Source organism: Homo sapiens, chromosome 1 (assembly GCF_000001405.40).
Source record: "Homo sapiens chromosome 1, GRCh38.p14 Primary Assembly".
NCBI lineage: Eukaryota > Metazoa > Chordata > Mammalia > Primates > Hominidae > Homo > Homo sapiens.
This window is the reverse complement of record NC_000001.11, coordinates 175,593,075-175,611,034: the sequence shown is the minus strand read 5'-3', so window position 1 is coordinate 175,611,034 and position 17,960 is coordinate 175,593,075. Positions and strand designations below refer to the sequence as shown.

The 17,960-nt window shown below is 43.0% G+C and overlaps 1 protein-coding gene across 2 annotated transcripts in view, besides 1 other annotated feature; it reads left to right on the top strand.

Moving 5' to 3' along the window:
• Positions 1-17,960, top strand: part of TNR (tenascin R) — a 428,402-nt gene that overhangs the window by 132,561 nt on the left and 277,881 nt on the right. The gene's annotated exons all lie outside the window — the stretch shown is intronic.
• Positions 10,306-10,375: an enhancer, noted in NCBI's record as "active region_2138". NCBI's record gives its function as "activates an Ori minimal core promoter by ATAC-STARR-seq in GM12878 lymphoblastoid cells {active_cell/tissue: GM12878}" and the evidence as "EXISTENCE:reporter gene assay evidence [ECO:0000049][PMID:35858748]".

Sequence of the window (17,960 nt, the reverse complement as noted above, 5' to 3'; positions counted from 1 at the left end):
TAGAAGGTAGGCAACAGCATCCGGACAGGTTAGATTTCCCTGCCAACAGGGCACACCAAACTGGCTCAGTGATCAAGCCATGTAATATTATTTACGTTAGTAAAAAACTCTACTGTGGCATGAATGCATAGTAGGCCCTACAGAATGTATTCTTTCTCTCCCCTTCTCTCTTACTGCAGTGGTGGCATCTCCTCCAGGAGTGTCAGAGAAGTTAGAGGGCATGGTCTATGATGTGTGTCAAATCGAAGAACATTTCTGGACTTAGTAAGGAGAGGTTTTATTAGAAAGAATGGTTGCGAGGGATAAAAGGAGCTATTGCAATAGTGGGACTGCGGTGACCATAAGATCTGCAAGCATCTCAAGGGACAGGCAAAAATAACTTTCCTTTATAGGGAGGAGTAAACAAGACTGGAAAGAACCAGGTGTGGGGAGATGGGGTGAAAGTCTGCCATGATGGGCTAATAGATCAGAGTGTTTGACCCTGAGGCCAGCTGCTTCCCAGGAGGGGCTGTTAAAGGGGAGTTGTATGCTCACCAAAGTTCAGATAACTGGGAGCAGAAGAGAAGCTTAACTAAAGTTTGGTTAACAAGCATTTTTGTTTCAATTGGCCAGGAATGAAGAGCTGTTTAGCTAATCCTTCATGAAGCAATGCATGGGAATTTGGAGAGTCTGAGTCTGGCCTTGCCATGGGTAAACAAAGGGGCATCCATGAGTCTTAGCTAAGTCACAGGGTAACAGTGGTTCTTCGTAGTAAGCCATTTCCCAGAACAAAAGAGGGGGGTTATTTCTTAACCTTCTCTGTTTTCCAGGATCATGTGTCTTAGGTAAAACTCAACATTCCCATGTGTGAGAAGGCTTTCTTGCATTTATTCATTTATTCCTTACAGTCTGCAGAGACCAGGGAAGATTTGTTCTGAGATATATTTTTCCTGAGGTGGCTGGTTATATTATCTGTCTTGAATCAGGTTTCTGCTTATGTTCAAAATTGTTTAGGCCCCAATCTTCATCCTATCTTTCTTTCTAATTAGTTGTATTTAATTAGATGTTTTTTATGTGCCCAAACTCCAACATGTTTGTAATTCCAATATCACATTCCCATTATTAGCAAGACTATTTGTGTCCTGGAACAATCCCTCAAACTGTCTCAGTTGAGTGGCTTTTTATAAGATCATCTAAATTTCTTTTGCTTCATCTCTGTTCTTGTCCTTCTGATTATGATTTGGCTTCCTATGTAGTTTGACTACAAGAAGAGAATGCACTAATCAGGCAGCTTTTAGTGCTCTGGTTGTATGACAATTACTTCTTATTGTAACTTATCAGTTGGCCTTCTGACATCTACCTGTCTCACATGCATCTCAGCACAGGTGGGTCCCCAGGGTCTCATGGCCAATGACAGCTTGTCTCTAGCCCTGCAAAGTCAAAACCAAGTCCAAGAGTACAGGGGCATCTGCAGGGTGCCCCCTAAGGATGACACCTTGGATATCACCTCAGATGACACCACTACTATGTCCAGCTACCATTTTATAAAACCCTCTAGTCTCTGCAACAGACTGTCAGAAAGATCGATCTCCCAAGTCACTTTGATCTCAGCAGCCACTGAAGAATGAGAGAAAACATGGACCCCATCCTCAATATTTTTTTCTTCTTTTTATTGATTTATTGCTGTTTATCTTCAGTCCCTGCTCCCATGCTCTTACCCCAATAGGCAAGCATTCTAATGTGCTTGATGTATATATGTATACATTCTTGCAAATTATTGATTATTGATTTGTGTTTAATATTTATATAAGTCAAACTGGGTTACAGATGTCATTCAACTTCCTTCTTTCTCTTCTTCCCACTATGTTTGAAAGCTCCATCTGTGTCAGTATTTGTGCATCCAGTATTTAGCTCCTTTCTGCTGCAAAGTGCTCCATGATGTGCACATGCCATGCCTGGCTTATCCATTCCCCAGGGACAGACACTCAGAGAACCACTACCACACTTCTCAACACACAGTGCTGTGAGGAGTATTCCCTTTTGTGCCTCTTATGGGCCTGTGGAAGGACAGTTTCTTGGGATATTTGCCCAGGATCAGAATTTCTGGGTTCCTGCTTGTGTGCACTCAAGTTGACTGAGGGCTGCACTCCTGCCTGCAGGCCTGGGGGTTTCTATAGTCCACATCCCTGCCTGGCAGCATCCAGCTTTCTAATTTTTGATACTCCCACAGGTTAAAATTGGTGTCTTGCTGTTTTACTTTGCACATTTCTGATTACCAATAAATTTGAACATCTCTTCTCAAACGTACAAGGCTTTGGGGTTTGATTTCCTCTTAATCTCCTATTCTTGCCCATTTTTTTCTGTTAAGTGTTGCTGCTTTTTTGTTGTTGATTTACAGAAGCTCCTTGAACATGCTATATCTCAATCCCTTGTCAGTTTTAGACATTACAACTACTTTTTCCCAATATCATCTTTCAGTTTTATCCACACTGTCCATAAATCCTTAATTTTCAATTAGTAAAATCCAGCCTTTTGCCTTATATCTTATGCTTTCAAAGTTGTGTTTAATAAATCCTTGCCTATCCCAAGGTCAAAAAGTTATTCTCTTATATTTTCTTCTTTTAACCTTCTACTTACAATTGCATTTACTTCTTTAATCTGTCCATAATTTTACTTTTGTATGTGATGTGCATTTAAAGGAATCCAGTTTGGTGTTTTTCCAGAAAGATATCTTCAGCAAATGTAAAAGGCAGATAAGTTTGTGAAATCTTCTTGTTTTCTGAACATCTTATAAGCTATGTATCCCTTTCCCATTGAGTTGTAGTGCCACTTTACTATATATTAAATTTCCATAGAATGTGTATTACCAGAAATTTTACTGATTGGATTCACTTGTTAGGGAGTAATAAGCCTTCAGAAGAATTCTTGAAAATAGGAATGACAAAGGCTTCTAAAAGCCTGTAGTACTTCCAGGGTGAGCTGCAATCTAGGGGAGAACTTGTACAGACAGCAAAGCTCCTTGCCTCTTCCTAGTGAGGCACAGTGGCTGTAGGTCAGAAAGCCTCTGCTGTCCCTTCTCTGACCACAGAACTGACTAAGCTCAGAGATAACCTGTACATCAGTTAAGCAGCTGCAGTAAGATAGAAACTTTCATAATTCCTTTAAGTATACTACATCGTTAATGTTCAGGAAAGCCTCATGAAATAGTTAGTACATCTCCATTTTACAGATGAGAAAGCTGAGATGCAAAGAGACTGAATAAGTATATACCAACCAGCTTGCCTAACAGAGAAGGGACAGAGCTAGGTTTGAACCTAGTTGAGCTTAACTCCATCACTGTTGGCCCTTCCCTCTGGCGTACTGTTCTTCACGTTCACTTTGATCCTTTCAGACATAATGTTTACTGAGTCCTGACCACTGTAACGTATTGTGTTTGGTGCAGAAAGGATTCATCAGATGAGGAGTATGTCCTTGAAGAGCAAGCATATGGTCTTACCCGGAAGATAAGATGTAGCTACAAGCCAGTACAATATAGGTCAGGAAAGCAGAGCTGCCTTAGAGGAGGACTGTGTTCTGTGATTACTCAGAATTTGGGGAAATGTTTCCAATCTTTACCTTTCTCCAAGAGGTACCCACTCTATTAGACCTCCATGGATGCTGTAGTCACAAACTTGCATGTTGACTCTTGGGTTGCACAAATGCTTAGCAGGACTGTAGTGCCAGGGATTCCATTTGGGCTTCTATGAATTAAAGGAGAGAACCTTCATCTGGCATGAAATGTCCTTCCTACTTGAGCCACTTGCAAGCTTGTCATGTGACCTCTAGTCTCAAGACGACTCAGTCTCAACAATTGTCCACCATTGGCAAAGGAAACATATGGGCCACAAATTCATAAACACTGGAGATAAAGAAAGAAGAAATAGAAAGAAATGGGATAGATGGATGTTTTGTTAACAGAACAAACTCTACCAACTTTCTGGATTTGAAAGCTGTCACAGTTTGGAGTCTCCAGAGGCAGACCGCAGGACAAAGACCCATGTGAAAGTGGCTCAGGAGAGCCTAGTAAGGGAGGAAGTGAAGCAGGACAAGGAAGGAAAGGAGCCAAGCAAAGGCAACATTTCAGGCAAAATCCTAGTCTCAGCTTGATCCTGCAGGGGAGCCCTGGAGTGCACTGGGCATCTCAAAGCTTCTTCAGACTTGACCCCATGTTGCTGGGCTTTCACACTCCCCCATCTATCAGGCATTGGTTCAAAGCCAGAGGAGAAGGGATGGTGGAATGCAAACCCCAAGCTGCTCCAGTGGTCGAGGGCTATCCTCAGAGGATAACTGGGCACAGAGAGGCAAAGGCTCACAGAAGCTGTGGGGGTCGGGTGGGGGGTCCTGGGCAGAGCATCAACAGAGCTGCTCTGGACAAGGGTCTGCAGCCCATCCATAAGTCATGTTCAGGAATTCTGCCAGCCTGTAGGCATTCCTAGGGATCCTAGGAAACCCCTTCACTTTACAGATGAGAAAGTAAAGGCACAGAGAGGTTAAAGTACTTTCCAAAAATCGTGTAAACGGATTTGTGACAAATTTAGAGTGTCAGGATCCTTAATTTACGTCTAGTTCTCTTTCATCTACTTCTTGCCACCTCACTTCCCTGCAAGCTTAAAGGAATACTGTGCCAACTCAGTCGATCATATTTTGCATTTTATTTACATTATTCTCTGTCCAGAGTCTGGCTTCTTTGAGGCCCAGCATCTGTCCTTGTAAGTCCCAGCCAGCCCACTGAGCCCTGCTTGGTGGCCCAGTAGAAAACAGAATTATTCCCTTGACAGAGGGCCCCACAGTCATCTGGAAGACTTATCTGGGTAGTTAAGGAAACCTTGGCGCCTGAAGAAGGCACGCAGAAGATGACAGGTCTGAATAGTCTGACAAATTTTTATTGCCCCAAAATCTCCAGTCCTGTAAGTCATAAAATAAATCTCAGCCTACATCAAATAAATTATTGTCCGTTTAAGAATGAAAGAGTGGATGAAGGAAAGAGTGCGCAAATGGCTTCTGCCTTTTCTTTCCCTCAGCTTTGTATCAGGATTTTTCAATCCAGAGCTTTGCCTAACCCTTCCCAACACTAAATCTCTCTCGCCAGCTCTTCTGATAGATAGACAGACCAAACAGCAGAGAGCCACCAAGGGGTTAAGCCTGCTTTTGAAGAATTGTGAGGACAACCAGGCAGGGAGGAAAGAAACTCTGAAAGATGAGAAAGCTGTCATGCTTGCTGGCTGGGCAGATGAGATGACCAGCAATTCCTTAGAGCAGTAAAGATTTATCAGCATAAGGAAAAAAAAATCAATTGGCCAGATAATCTTTAAAAAGAAGGAAGGAGAAAAAATAATGCAAGTGACTAAGGTGATGGGAAAAGAAATTTTAAGAATGAAACAGGGATGTCTTTTCTGGTCTCCTGTGGCCCTACCTGTGCTTCCTTCATCCTAGCATTTAACAGACTGAATTATAATTGTCAATTTGCTTATCTATTTCACTGGCCACAATGCTATGTTCATGAGGACAAGGTCACTGTCTTTTTTGTTCACCTTTGATGTATGCCAGGCTTAGTACAATGTCTAGTACATGATAGGTGCTCATTATATATGTGTTAAATGACTAAGTAAGTGTATACATGCGCTGGCAGTTTTAAAGTGCCAATATTGACCCAGGCACAGTGCTAGACATTGACCTCCTTGAGTCATACAAACCTCTCAACAGTGAGATAGGTATAACCATTTTGCAGATAAGAAAATTGAAATTTTTGGAAAGGTTAAATAACTTTCCTGAGGCCAGATAGTGAATAAATGGAAGAGCTGGAATTCAAACCAAGGTCTTTCTGACTCCAAAGTCTATGGTTTTTATTGGATTGACAATTCATCTATTGATAAATCTTTATGATGTGCAGCCTGGCTGCCTGATGTGAGAATGAGTCATCATCCTTCCCTATGCTGCCCACCATTTTGTCATTCCATCTTTTGCCTACACTTTCTCCCTTTGGTACCCTGGAGAGAGGATAAAGATGAGCTTCAAGCCAATTCATTAATTATACTTTGTCAGATGCTTCTTTGGGTGTTCCATTTGTGTATGCTTCCTCCTCTCCTCTAGGATATAAACTCCAAGAGCTACATCTTGTGTTTCTCTGGACATTCTTCCCCTAGGCACTTACAGGTATGATTTCTATCATAGGTGGTCATGTTGCCCTGGTTAGCGCTGCGGCAAAGGGTGACAGAATGAGGGCGCTAGGGACCCAGGGACTGTCGCACATAAATGGGAGGTGCACAGGAGCTGCCTTTGAAAGCCCTACCAATAACAGAATCAATCCATCATTTGTACACAAAACAGACTGGTTCTTGAAGGGCAAATGGAATTTAAACAAAAGGAGAGGAGGAGAGAGGATGGCATAAAGATAGATTCTCAAAAAACTGGAGCTCCATGGAGTCAGCCAGTCTGTCTCTGCTTCCCTTTCCTTCTCTCTGGGCAGCAAGATAGCATCGGGCAAGGAAGTGAGCTTTTCTTTATGCTGCCCAGCCTTCCCACTGTGACCTTGGGTGACCTTCCTTGGCCCGAGTCTTCCCAACTGTGAAAGGAAGGCTGAGACCAGGCCTACATTTCCAACCCGGAGTTCCTTGGAACTTCATGCCTTTTGAGGTCTTTGATGTAACTTACTTCATGGGGCTGGTCAGTTGTCGGGGAGAGAAGGGAGCTACTGTGAGAGTCAAGAAGTGCTGAATGAAGCCTATTATTAGAACTGCACCTGAACACTGGCCTGCTGAGGGGCCATCCATCTCCGCTGGGCTGAAGGGATGGAGTGTGATTAATGTAGCTGGCTAGCAGCGTGGGCCTGCCTTGGCCCATCTCCTCCTCTGGATGCTGCTTGAAGAATTCATTAGAAGAGGGGAGCGGGGAAGGGGAAAAGCTGCCACTGTCCTCATCTCCCCACCCCCTCACTCCTTCAGTTTGGCTTTTTCAACTAAGAAAGTAAAAGCTGATCAGGGTCTGATGGGTCTTCATGGTGGGAGCACTGGTGTGCTCCCACAGCAAGGGTTAAAAATTTTTGATCTATTTACTTGAAAATAAAATACTGAAAATAAAAGGGACTCCTTTCTCTGTGTTGACCAAGCTGGAATCGTTTCTCAGGCTGTCTCCTGAAGGAGCCTGCAGTCTAGCCACATGGACAGGGGATAGATAACTTCAGGGTGACGTGGTGAGTGCAGCACACAAGAGGCAGTGAGAGGCCAGAGGAAGGGCTGACCTGCCCCCTCCAGGCCTCCCAGAAGGGGTAAAGGAGCACTGGGTTGATGAGAGGGTTACCTATACCTTGCCACTCACAGATGCTAAGCCTAGAGTGATCCACACAGACTGCCAAGCAGCCAGTACCCCTGATTTAACCCCAAAGACGTGGGGTATGTGAGCAATGGCTATTACTTAACCACTAGCATCACTCTTCCTCACCCATGTGATTTTTAGTGAGAATTCATCAAAGCATCATTTTTAGCATCCTATAAAAACCTAACACTTCTTGCTCCTGCTAGTGTCCATTCAGTAATTGCTACAGTGACTGCTGAGAAGTAGAAGGAAGGATTAGTCCCCTCGCAACTTGAAAAAATTTCTCTATTAATGATTCAGGCCATCTTTTCAAGTTTTTGTCAATTCTTACTGACCCCTTACTATTTCCTTTGGGAGGAGGAATGCCTGGGCTTGAAGCAAACTCACTTTACTGATTTCTCAGGTTGGATAACTTGACACCAAACACTGAGGCAGGAGCCCAGTTATCTCAATGCTTTATGTATGGGAAGCAGGAAAGACTAGAAAAAAAGGTCTCTGTCACTGGAGCAAGAGGATTTATACTTTAGTGCCAGGTCTACAGCACATAGCTGGTGGACCTTGGGTAAATCACTTTTGTTACCCACCACACTAAAACAGACAACACACGTTTACTGACACCAACTTCTATTACTCGGTTATTTCTTGTCCCCTCAGAACTAGCACACGTAATTTTCACCATTTCCTTATTTTATTATGTATGTATTTATTTTTTCCTCCTTTATTCTAGGAAAGATTTGGGAAAACTTACAAAGGAGAAGAAGACAAAGAAAAAATAAGTTGAATAAAAATATATTACAGGGAAAATTAGTACCCTCAAATATGTGCCATAAGTTTCTCCCCGTTTATTGGAAATGAGCTGTTTGTTGGTCTCGGAGCTTTCTAGGAAGCTAATGAAGCAAATGAAGTCATGTAACCTGAAAGAAGAAAGCATCCCAATCATTCTGGGGATAAAATGAGCACTTCTTCCTCCTTCTAATAACTGATAGAGATTTCTTTCTTGGATACTAATAAAAGGACATTGAGAGATGTGGGAATCTGCATCCTCAACAACTTCACAAGAGTGAAGATGCCAGTCATTTCTTAAGGCCATTATTTGTATTATTCCTCAATGCAAGAGAAGGACACAGTGCAGTGTCCGTAAATTCAAGACACCCTGCTTCTACTGAGGGATCAGAACAATGTGCTACAAGTATGCATCTGTTTGTTTTAGGCTTGACCTGTTGATAAACTTGATGTTAGTCAGACCAGCTGTTCTCACGGTGTAGTAGTCCTGAACTTGCAATATCACTATCACCTGGGAACTTATTAGATATACACATTTTTTTAGCTCAACTCAGGCCTATAGAATCAGAAACTCTGGGAATGGAGCCAGGGAATCTGTATTTTAACAAGCTCTGATGCAATTTGAGGACCAGTGTGATATAGAGAGGAATGAGTAGATCGCATGTCCTTTTGACAATTACAGGAACGCTATTTTTTTTTTTTTTTTTTTTTTTTTTTTTGCCTTTGGTCCTTGGATTAGAGTCAGGCAGCAAGTAGTTGGAAGATACATTGTCTTGGCAGGAGCCTGGAGGACAAATATTTATATTATCAATTTAAAGCAGATCCACATACTTTCCAAACCCACTCAGAGGAGAGTCTGGTTGACATCCTTCCTCTTCTGCATGCTAAGTCTCCCCAGATGGTTTTTGATCTCCCTGCTCTATACAGTGGGGTGCTGGGGCAGGCCAACAGTGGGGCCAAGTGTGTCCTCTGAAGATACCTTCCTTACTGTGTGCATTTATTCATGGCTTTTCTTTAAATTGTTCATGTGTGTTTTGCAAGTATGTTCATTCTTCCTCCCAAGATGGAGTCCTTCCAAGCTGTAAAATTATATGACTATTCTATTAGGTAGGAATAGAGTTTTAAAAGCCCTAAAGCTGAAATAAACTATAGAGATAGTATAATACAACCTCCTCATCTTACAGATCATAAGTGAGTGGAGAGGGGAGCGATTTCTCTCTAGGTATTGCTTAACTCAGGCCCTGGCACACAACAGGTTCTCAATGACTCTTAGTTGAATCTGTTTCTTGACTGTATATAGCGTTTTCATAATTCTCACATGGCTTTTAACATTTTATCTCCATAAATATTCATGAGTATAATTATCCCTATTTTCAAATCAAGGAACTCAAACTTGAGTGGCTAAGTGTTTATCAAAATTGTACAGATTTTAATATTACAAATCCAGAACTGGAACTCAGGCCTCTTAAGTTTAGGCCCATTCACCTTTCTCTTCTGCCATGATGACTAGAAGTCTGTGGATCACACACTAAGTCCCCCAAAGACATGCAAACATATATCAAATTGAAAGACTAAGTTTTGTGTAATAGTGGCCATGGCCAACCTCAAAGGCGAGGGTTTCGGCTTTTTCAGCGCCTCAGGGCCGCATCTCTGAGTAAGAACTGGCCAAGTGACCTTACCCAAACTCTACCCGCTGCAGAGCAAGTGCAGGATGTGGCGGTTTTTACCAGACTCCTCTGAGAGGTATAGCTACTGGACTGTCAAAGTCAGCTAAACACAAACAGAAGATAAAGGCATTTCTGTACCTTCATGTTTCTACATATGTAAACATATTTTGGCACACATATAAATCTGTATAAATATGTTGAAACTACAATATCATTTCTGTTATAAGCAAAGTGATTTGATCTCCTCAGCAAAGTTTATCTAAACAAATGCTGCAAAAGCTAGAGGAAAGAGAATGAGGAACTGTCAGAGGAAATGCAAATTTTTTTTTCACTCAAGACCACAAACAAACTCAGGAGTTCCTCTGTAGCGTAAGTCTTAAATTCAGGATCTGCATCTGACTAAATGTCATGCTTTGTTTTCTGTTTTTTGCTTTTTGGGTTTTTCATTGTTTTCGTTTTGCTGTGACCTTCCCAAAGATCACAAGGCTACTGAAAGCCCGTAAGGTAAGTTGTTGAAAATTTTTTAAATGAGCTCCTTCCTCCAGGCAGACATAGCACTACGCCAGGGAGCATAGCTTCAGGAGTAAAGCAGGGGCTGGGGTTCTGCTCCTACTCACCCCTCAGCTGGGCACCTTTGTGCAGGATATACAACCAACTCAACTGTACATGGTGGCCCTATCTTTACGTGCAAACCCTGTGGGTATTATAGCTGTGGGGCCATTCAATTCAATACAGTCAGTGTCTGGTGGTGCATCTCATGTATAGACATAAACAGAAGCCTTGCTTTCTGCTAAGCCAAATCACCTTTAAATCAAATAGATATTGGTAGCCAAGAGTAACATACAAAACTATGTTTGCAGAACTGTTCCACATACTGCAATGGAAGATCACTTCTTCCAACCCTCTTATTTTATAGGATATCTCACTGCATAAATCCAGACTGATACTAATAATACTTATGATAATACGAGTAATAGCTAAATAGTAAAAATAGTTAATTCTTACTATATGCCAGGCATCATTCTAAATATACACCTCATAACACCTCTTTAAGGTATATTACTATTATCTCCATTGTACAAATGCAGAACTTCTCTGACACACAAGGGAGTTAAGTAACCTGCTCAAGATCACAGCTAATACAAGTGGTAAAACTGGGGTTCCAATCCCCGAGTCCAGTTCCAGAGTCTGTGCTAATTAACCACTGTGACACTTTCCTAAAATGCTGGAAACATGCAGAATGCCAGGATAAGTAGGCGTGCAGTCGAATGGAAGTCCTGCAAGGGATTTTACTCTATCATATGGCTCACTCTTTTCCTCCCTCCTGTAGAACCGGCCCCAGTCTCTTGCCTGCCTCAGCATCCCCACGCCGAGGGGTTGCCTCCATCCCGAGTTGCAGCAAGAGTTGAATCCGAATCACCCCTCCTTGCTATCTGGGAAGTGTATTTTCTGGTTTCAAGTGGGACAGAAAACGGTTGTGAGACTGCATATTGGTGGCAGGGAACCCGCCAATGGGTCTCACGAAAAGCCTGGGCTGTTTGCAGACCCCGCTCCACCTGGCCCCTCTGTCCTCCTCTCCCCACCGCAAGGAGCCGCCGGCCTCTGGAGTTAGCCAGGTCCGCATAAGCCTGCTGGGGCGACGCTGCTCCGGGCTGCCTCCGGGTGGGCCGGCCCCATTACCGCTGATGCGGGACACTAGCCCAGCAGAGACCCCATTAACCGCGCCGCCCCACCGCTCGGTGGCATCTGCGAATTACTCCGTCACTCGGCGGCGATCGCAAGACCCCAAGTCTTCTCATTTCCTCGTAATGCTCTAATGGTCTGCTTCCGTCGCCATGACAACACGAACACAGCTCCGCCGGGCCCCTCCGACTGCCTGAGGTGTGAGCAGAAGGCGCGTGTGTGCCTCTCAGGGCCCCTATGCGGTCTGCCCCGTTAGCGTTGCTGCGATGTCTCCGCCACTGCTCTTCGCGGTGGGCAAACCCGGGCGCCTGAAAGGGAGGAGCGGTGACCCGAGGTGGCCAAGGCCAAGCTGACACTTCCCATCTGGCAGCTGGGGACAGCTTCCCCTCCCTCCTGCTCTCCTTCCTCCCTCCTCTCTTCTCCCTCAGCTCTGCAAATTGGTGACCCCCCGCAACCCGGGGCCCATAGAGGCTGGAATGGAGTCTGGAGACCGCAGCTCCACCCTGCCTCTCCGTCACTGAACGTGTGACCTTGGGGAAGCCCTTTAGCTCCTGGAGAGCCGGAGCCACCTAAGAGTGCATTCGATTTAAGGACGCATCTCCTCTCTGCTCAACAAAGAGGGAGGGGTTCCTGCACACGTTGGATTTCTGCCCTCATGGAGCTTACAGATTCATTAGAGCATTCCAGAAAATGTGAAGACTTGGGGAACTTGAGATTCTAGAGTGGCAGAGTGATTTACATGCCACTGAGCGGCTGGGTGCCTGACCTAATGGAGTCTTACCTAGACCTTGGCTCTTTGAGTGCCTTCCCACAACACTTGACTAAAGTCTCTGGAGCAGGGTCAGATGTGACCCATATTCTGTCCTTCTAGAAACTAACTGCAGAGTGCATACTTCTCCTAAATGTACCTCTATTCATTTGGTTCTCCAGTTCTAGACACTCATAACCTTTTAGAATTTGGATTCTCACAGTCACCATGCCATTTCACGCATGCCTTCTGTTTATACAGCATACTGTACATTCCATAAGCATGTATTCATGCCCACGTCCAAGGCTTTGGTAACTAAAACATGCTTGCTGAAAACTATAACTGTATTGCCTGAATTCCTGCAGCATTTAATATTCCTTTTGTTTGTGTCCCATGGAAAATAGCACCTCTAATCTTGGTGAGTTGATTTGTTATTATGTTTTCAATGATATAACTAATGAAGTGATCTTGATCAAGTCATTTAACCTGTATGGCCTTTAGTTTTGGTAAATGCTCTAAAAATAATCGTTAAACTTAACTGAAATAGAGAATTGGACTAAATGAGGTCTACAGTTGAATCACCGGTGGGAAAACACCTCGCATTTGCATGGTGATCTTTACTTCCTGAGGGAAGTTCATACACTGATTTCTGGAGACTGTTACTGTTGTTCTTGAGTACACATCCTGTTTGACTAATGCAAGGACGGTCCCTTGCCTTACTGCCTTATATTGTTCTCGGCATCCTCAGGAACATGCCCTGTGTGTAGTGGCCTGAAAGAATTATTTGTTGATGATAAAGGTGAGGTCCAGGAAAGATAATCTAAGATTATCTGATTTCTTGTGAACTTCTTGAGAAGCTGGATTTAAAGACCCTAGCTGGTGCAGAGGTCTGTTCAATTTTCACTAACCCTTCTCTGTTCTCTAGTGATGACAGAGAACAATGGAAATGAGCCTAGAGGAATAATGTTACTGCAGAAAAGTCAGTAGTTTCCATTTTTATTAAAATTCATTCTTCCCTAACTGCCATCTGTTTTTCTTTTGGGCCTGGCCAAATGCTTGGAGGTGAATGGATCAATGCTAATTTACATGACTGGTCCAGCTAACTAGGGCCCCCATGCCCCCACATTTCCAATACACCCCTCAGCAAGGTTTTTACCAGAATATTCCAAACCAATAGGCCTCTTCCTCCATCTAAAACCATCAGCAGGTATAGACAAGCCCCAGTGTCTGAAAAGTAAAGGAAGGCCTCTGAAAATTCAGCTCTTGGGTACAATTTGAACTTTTAGCACAACCAAGTGCAGCTGGAAATCTTGAGACTAAACTAGCATTCATGCATTCAGCAATATTCACTGAATGCTCCCTCTATCCACAGTATCCAAAAGCAGTTTCCAGATGGGAGGACCCAGGCATTGTTTCCTATTACATGAGCCTCTGGAAGCTGTGCCAGGACATGTGGGGAACAAAGTCACTTCTCACATTCCCTAGGAGATGCTGTTCCTCACGTGAGGTTCTGTCAAGCATCCTGCAGACCAGTGCTCTATTTCCAGCCCTGTGGGGACTTGGTCTGGGATTATGGGCAGCTCATCTCACCACTGTGCTGGCCCCTGAGAGAGCCTTGTACCTCAGGGACAATCTCTCTTGTCATCACCTGCCTCGCAGGGATGTCAAGAGGATTTAATGAGATAATGTTTGCAAAGCATTCTGAGCTCCTAAGAAGAATGAATAGTGCTATATAAATGCAAAACATCATTATTATAATGATTACAGAAGCATTAACTGTAGTTAAAAGCAAGTGGGAAGGAGCCCTGATTCCATTATAATCTTCTATTTCTGAGAGCTGATAACCCTGAAATATGCACCCCTTTTCCAGCTGAAACTCTCCACCTTTATAATCAGCTCAGAGGTGAAATGTTTTGGGAAAATTTTAGAAATTTCTCTTTAGTCCCTTTTGAGAAGGAAGAACATTAAATAAGCACACTTTGTCTGCTTACAAAAAAGCTGTTTTGACCAAAATCATTCAAAAAGGCTGAGCTTTATGACTTCAAATTTAGCTGGTCTTTAGTCCCCACTGAGATAAATGGAGCAGTGTTAAATCTGAGAGGAGAAAATTGGTTTGGCAAGTTTCTAATGTTTGAAGCCACCATTCAAGTGTTGCTGAACGGAGGCTGATTTTTCCATATAATGAATTTGTTTCTTTCTAGAGAAATTATTTCAATGATTTTTTTTCCCACACTGGAAAATGAGGTTTGTTATGTTGACAATAATCCATCCTTCCAGTTTAGAAAGATCATTGATTTTCAGAAGAACTCTCAAAGTTCTTTTTCTTTTGCAGAATCAGACTTTGAGTAGCAGAAGAGCCCACAGTACAGCAGGTGTCTCAAACTGAAATGATTCTGGGAGCCAGGTAGGCCACAAACAAGAGGGAAGTAGGGCAGACGTCATGACAGCTGAGCATGGTCACCATGTTGCGAACTGGTAGAAAGTGGTGAACGACGGGTGGGGGGAACTGGAGGACCTTCTAGAAGGACCCTCCACTCCTCAGCTCCAGCTCCTTCTTACCGTGCAGAAACACGGGTTTCTTCATCTTTCGAGGGAAGTCAAAAATCAATAATTCTATATATCATCTCCCAATGTGAAATGTTATTCACAAATTCTTTTTCTTTTTCTTTTAAAAAAACATTGTGTAGCCAAACCAAAGATCTAAGCCATGGGATGTTGTTTTCAACCTTTGCCCTAAACGAGTGTGAATTTTCCAATGAAACTAGAATGGGCTTTTAAAAGTGGATTTTCTTAGACCAATAGAGTCTTAGAATAACAGAAGAACCATAGGATTCTGATAGCCCCTCCTCCATTATCATATTCGCCTGCCTCCACCACAAGTTGTTTAATTTCTCTGTGCCTCAGTCTCCTCATTTGTACCATTAGCATAATAAGAGCACCTACCTCATAAGGATGTTATGAGTAATAAATGAGAGAATAAGTGCAAAATGCTAGCACACTAGCAATCATGAGCATTCATTAAACCCTATTTGTTATTATTGCTGGTTCTCATTTTTTTAACTAGCTAACGATTTTTAACTAGCTAGGAATCGAATCTAATACCCTTTCTGTTCCATGACACTGTCTCCATTGCCTAATTCTCTTTGGTCCAATTCAGTCTGGTAATTTAGTGGGTCTACTATAGACTTAAAACAGAAAAGATGGGACAGACCATTGAAAGCCAGTACTTCTGAGGGTTGCAGGATGGGAAATAGTTGCAAAGCCAACTAAGTCAATGCAAAAGTATACCGATTTTACCCTCATGGCTTCGAAGAATCCAAGAGGTTCAACTTCATCCATGTTTCCACAAGGCAATTTTTGATGACAAACTCTAGCAGAGAGGGAGGCACAGGAGTAAGCTCTGAAATAGGGTTTAAACTGGGTTTCAGTTTTGGTATATACTTGGGAATGTGAAAGGCTCCTTTAGTAGTTGCTTTTGCATCTTATTTGGAAAAGAAAGGAGTTGGTCTGGACAACTTCTTAGCCCCTTTCAGCTTTAATTTTCTGAGGCTGTGTCTGTATCTTCTTCCACATAATGCATTCTCTACCAATAGCTGGCAATCACCAAATGTCAGTTATCAATGATTCAATTATTCCTATCCTAAAATAATTTTTTTTTGAGATGGAGTCTCCCTCTGTCACCCAGGCTGGAGTGCAGTGGTGTAATCTTGGCTCACTGCAACCTCCGTCTCCCAGGTTCAAGCAATTCTCCTGCCTCAGCCTCCTGAGTAGCTGGGACTATAGGTGCCCACCACCACATCCAGCTATTTTTTTTGTATTTTTAGTAGAGACAGGGTTTCACCATGTTGGACAGGCTGGTCTCAAACTCCTGACCTTAGGTGATCCACCCACTTTGGCCTCCCAAAGTGTTGGGATTACAGGCTTGAGCCACCATGCCCAGCCAATAATTTTTTTTTTTTTTTTTTTTAGAAACAAGGTCTCACTCTGTTGCCCAGGCTGGAGTGCAATGGTTGCAATCTTGGCTCACTGCAACCTCCTGCCTTCTGGGCTCAAGTGATCCTCCCACCTCAGCCTCCTGAGTAGCTGGGACTACAGGTGTGCACCACTATGCATGGATAATTTTTGTATCTTTTGTAGAGATGGGGATTTGCTGTGTTGCCCAGGCTGGTCTCAAACTCCTGGGCTCAAGACATTGGCCCGCTTCAGTCTCCCAAAGTATTGCGATTACAGGCATGAACCACTGTGCCTGGGCCTCTAAAATAATTTTTTATCTCACTTGAAAGATTAATATTATATATGTGCAACAGATAACAATTCAAGATAATATATGATTAAATGCATAAACAAAAGATGCAAATAAATGCTTTAGGAGATAGAAAGGGAAAAATAAGTTAGACCCATATTGATAAGGGAAAGATTGAATAATAGGTGTATTTCTGATGGACAGGAACAAAAGGGGTGGGAGAAGTGCATTCTGTAGGAATAACAGCAAGTCCAAAAGCAAAGAGGTGGGAAGAGTGGGTAGAAGCCCTTTGCCTTTCCCTATATTGACTGATATACAGATTCAGAGAACTGAAAAAAAAAATGCTCAGAGGCATAATTCCTACAGGCCCCAGAATAACATTCCCAATCCCTATCAGGAAGACCCTGGAAAATTATAGTACCTGATTGGTACACCCACCTTCTCTGTTTCTTTAGAAAGTGTTCCATGGGGCTTAAGGAACTCTGGGAAGATAACAAAATGCCCACTAGGAAATGGGAGTCTCCTAAGAGATGCTAAAGTAACAGGGAGGGGAGATGTGTGAAAAGAGAGAGATTCCTCTTGTGCTGAGCCTCCTAAGATCTACCATGTGGCTTTTTATGGGTGAATAATGACCACAGAAATAAAGTCTAATAAAAGAAATTCAGCACTGTTGCCAGCCAGAGTTCTGAAGTCATCAATGTGAAATATGCTGCCTGTGCCCCATCTGTTTGGGAGGACACTTGGTGCTGTGGAGGGAAACTTGAGAATATTTCTCTATCATGGAGAAAACAAATATCTTGGGCCCTACTTGCCAGGCAGAAGACACCCACAACATCTTCTCTGTGCAGACAATAGAAGAGGGGACAGAGTCTGGTGAAGACTCTGGGGCTGCTAGTGACAGGGTTTCTGAAGGACAGGCTCTTTTGGAATACAATTTTATTGATTTTGGTTCAACCAGTGAAGGAAGCTCATAGTGATGAGGGAATCGAGAGCCTATCAAACAATGCTAGTTTCCAAAACTTATGACTCCTAAAACCTCAGCTGACAATCTTTTATTAGATTCTATTTGTACAGGAATTGCTTGCCCATAAAGCCACTTGGTAGATATTAAGAGGGCCCTACATAAGAGGGGTCTCTATATTCTCACTGCTTTTTGAGCTGCAAACTGTTGGCTTGGGTTGGTTCCGATTGATCTACACTCTCTTTGACTTTTCTATTTCTCCATTAACTGGCTCTATGTGAGGCTTGGTTTACAACAGCACTGTGAACAGTGTAAAGGGCTGGGTTGGAGGGTGTAGGACTGGCTTGAGCTCTTTCGTGGCCTCTATCAGTGCTCTCCATACAACCATGGCAAATAAACAGACTAAGTAAAAGTAGATGGTTCCTCTGCAAGTACACTTCGAGATGAGTTCCCTACACCTGCTGCCTCCCAACCAGATTGCTACTCTTAATGCCCTTCCATAAAGAAATTCTGCCACTATTGATTCTCTTTGGAAGAGATTCAACC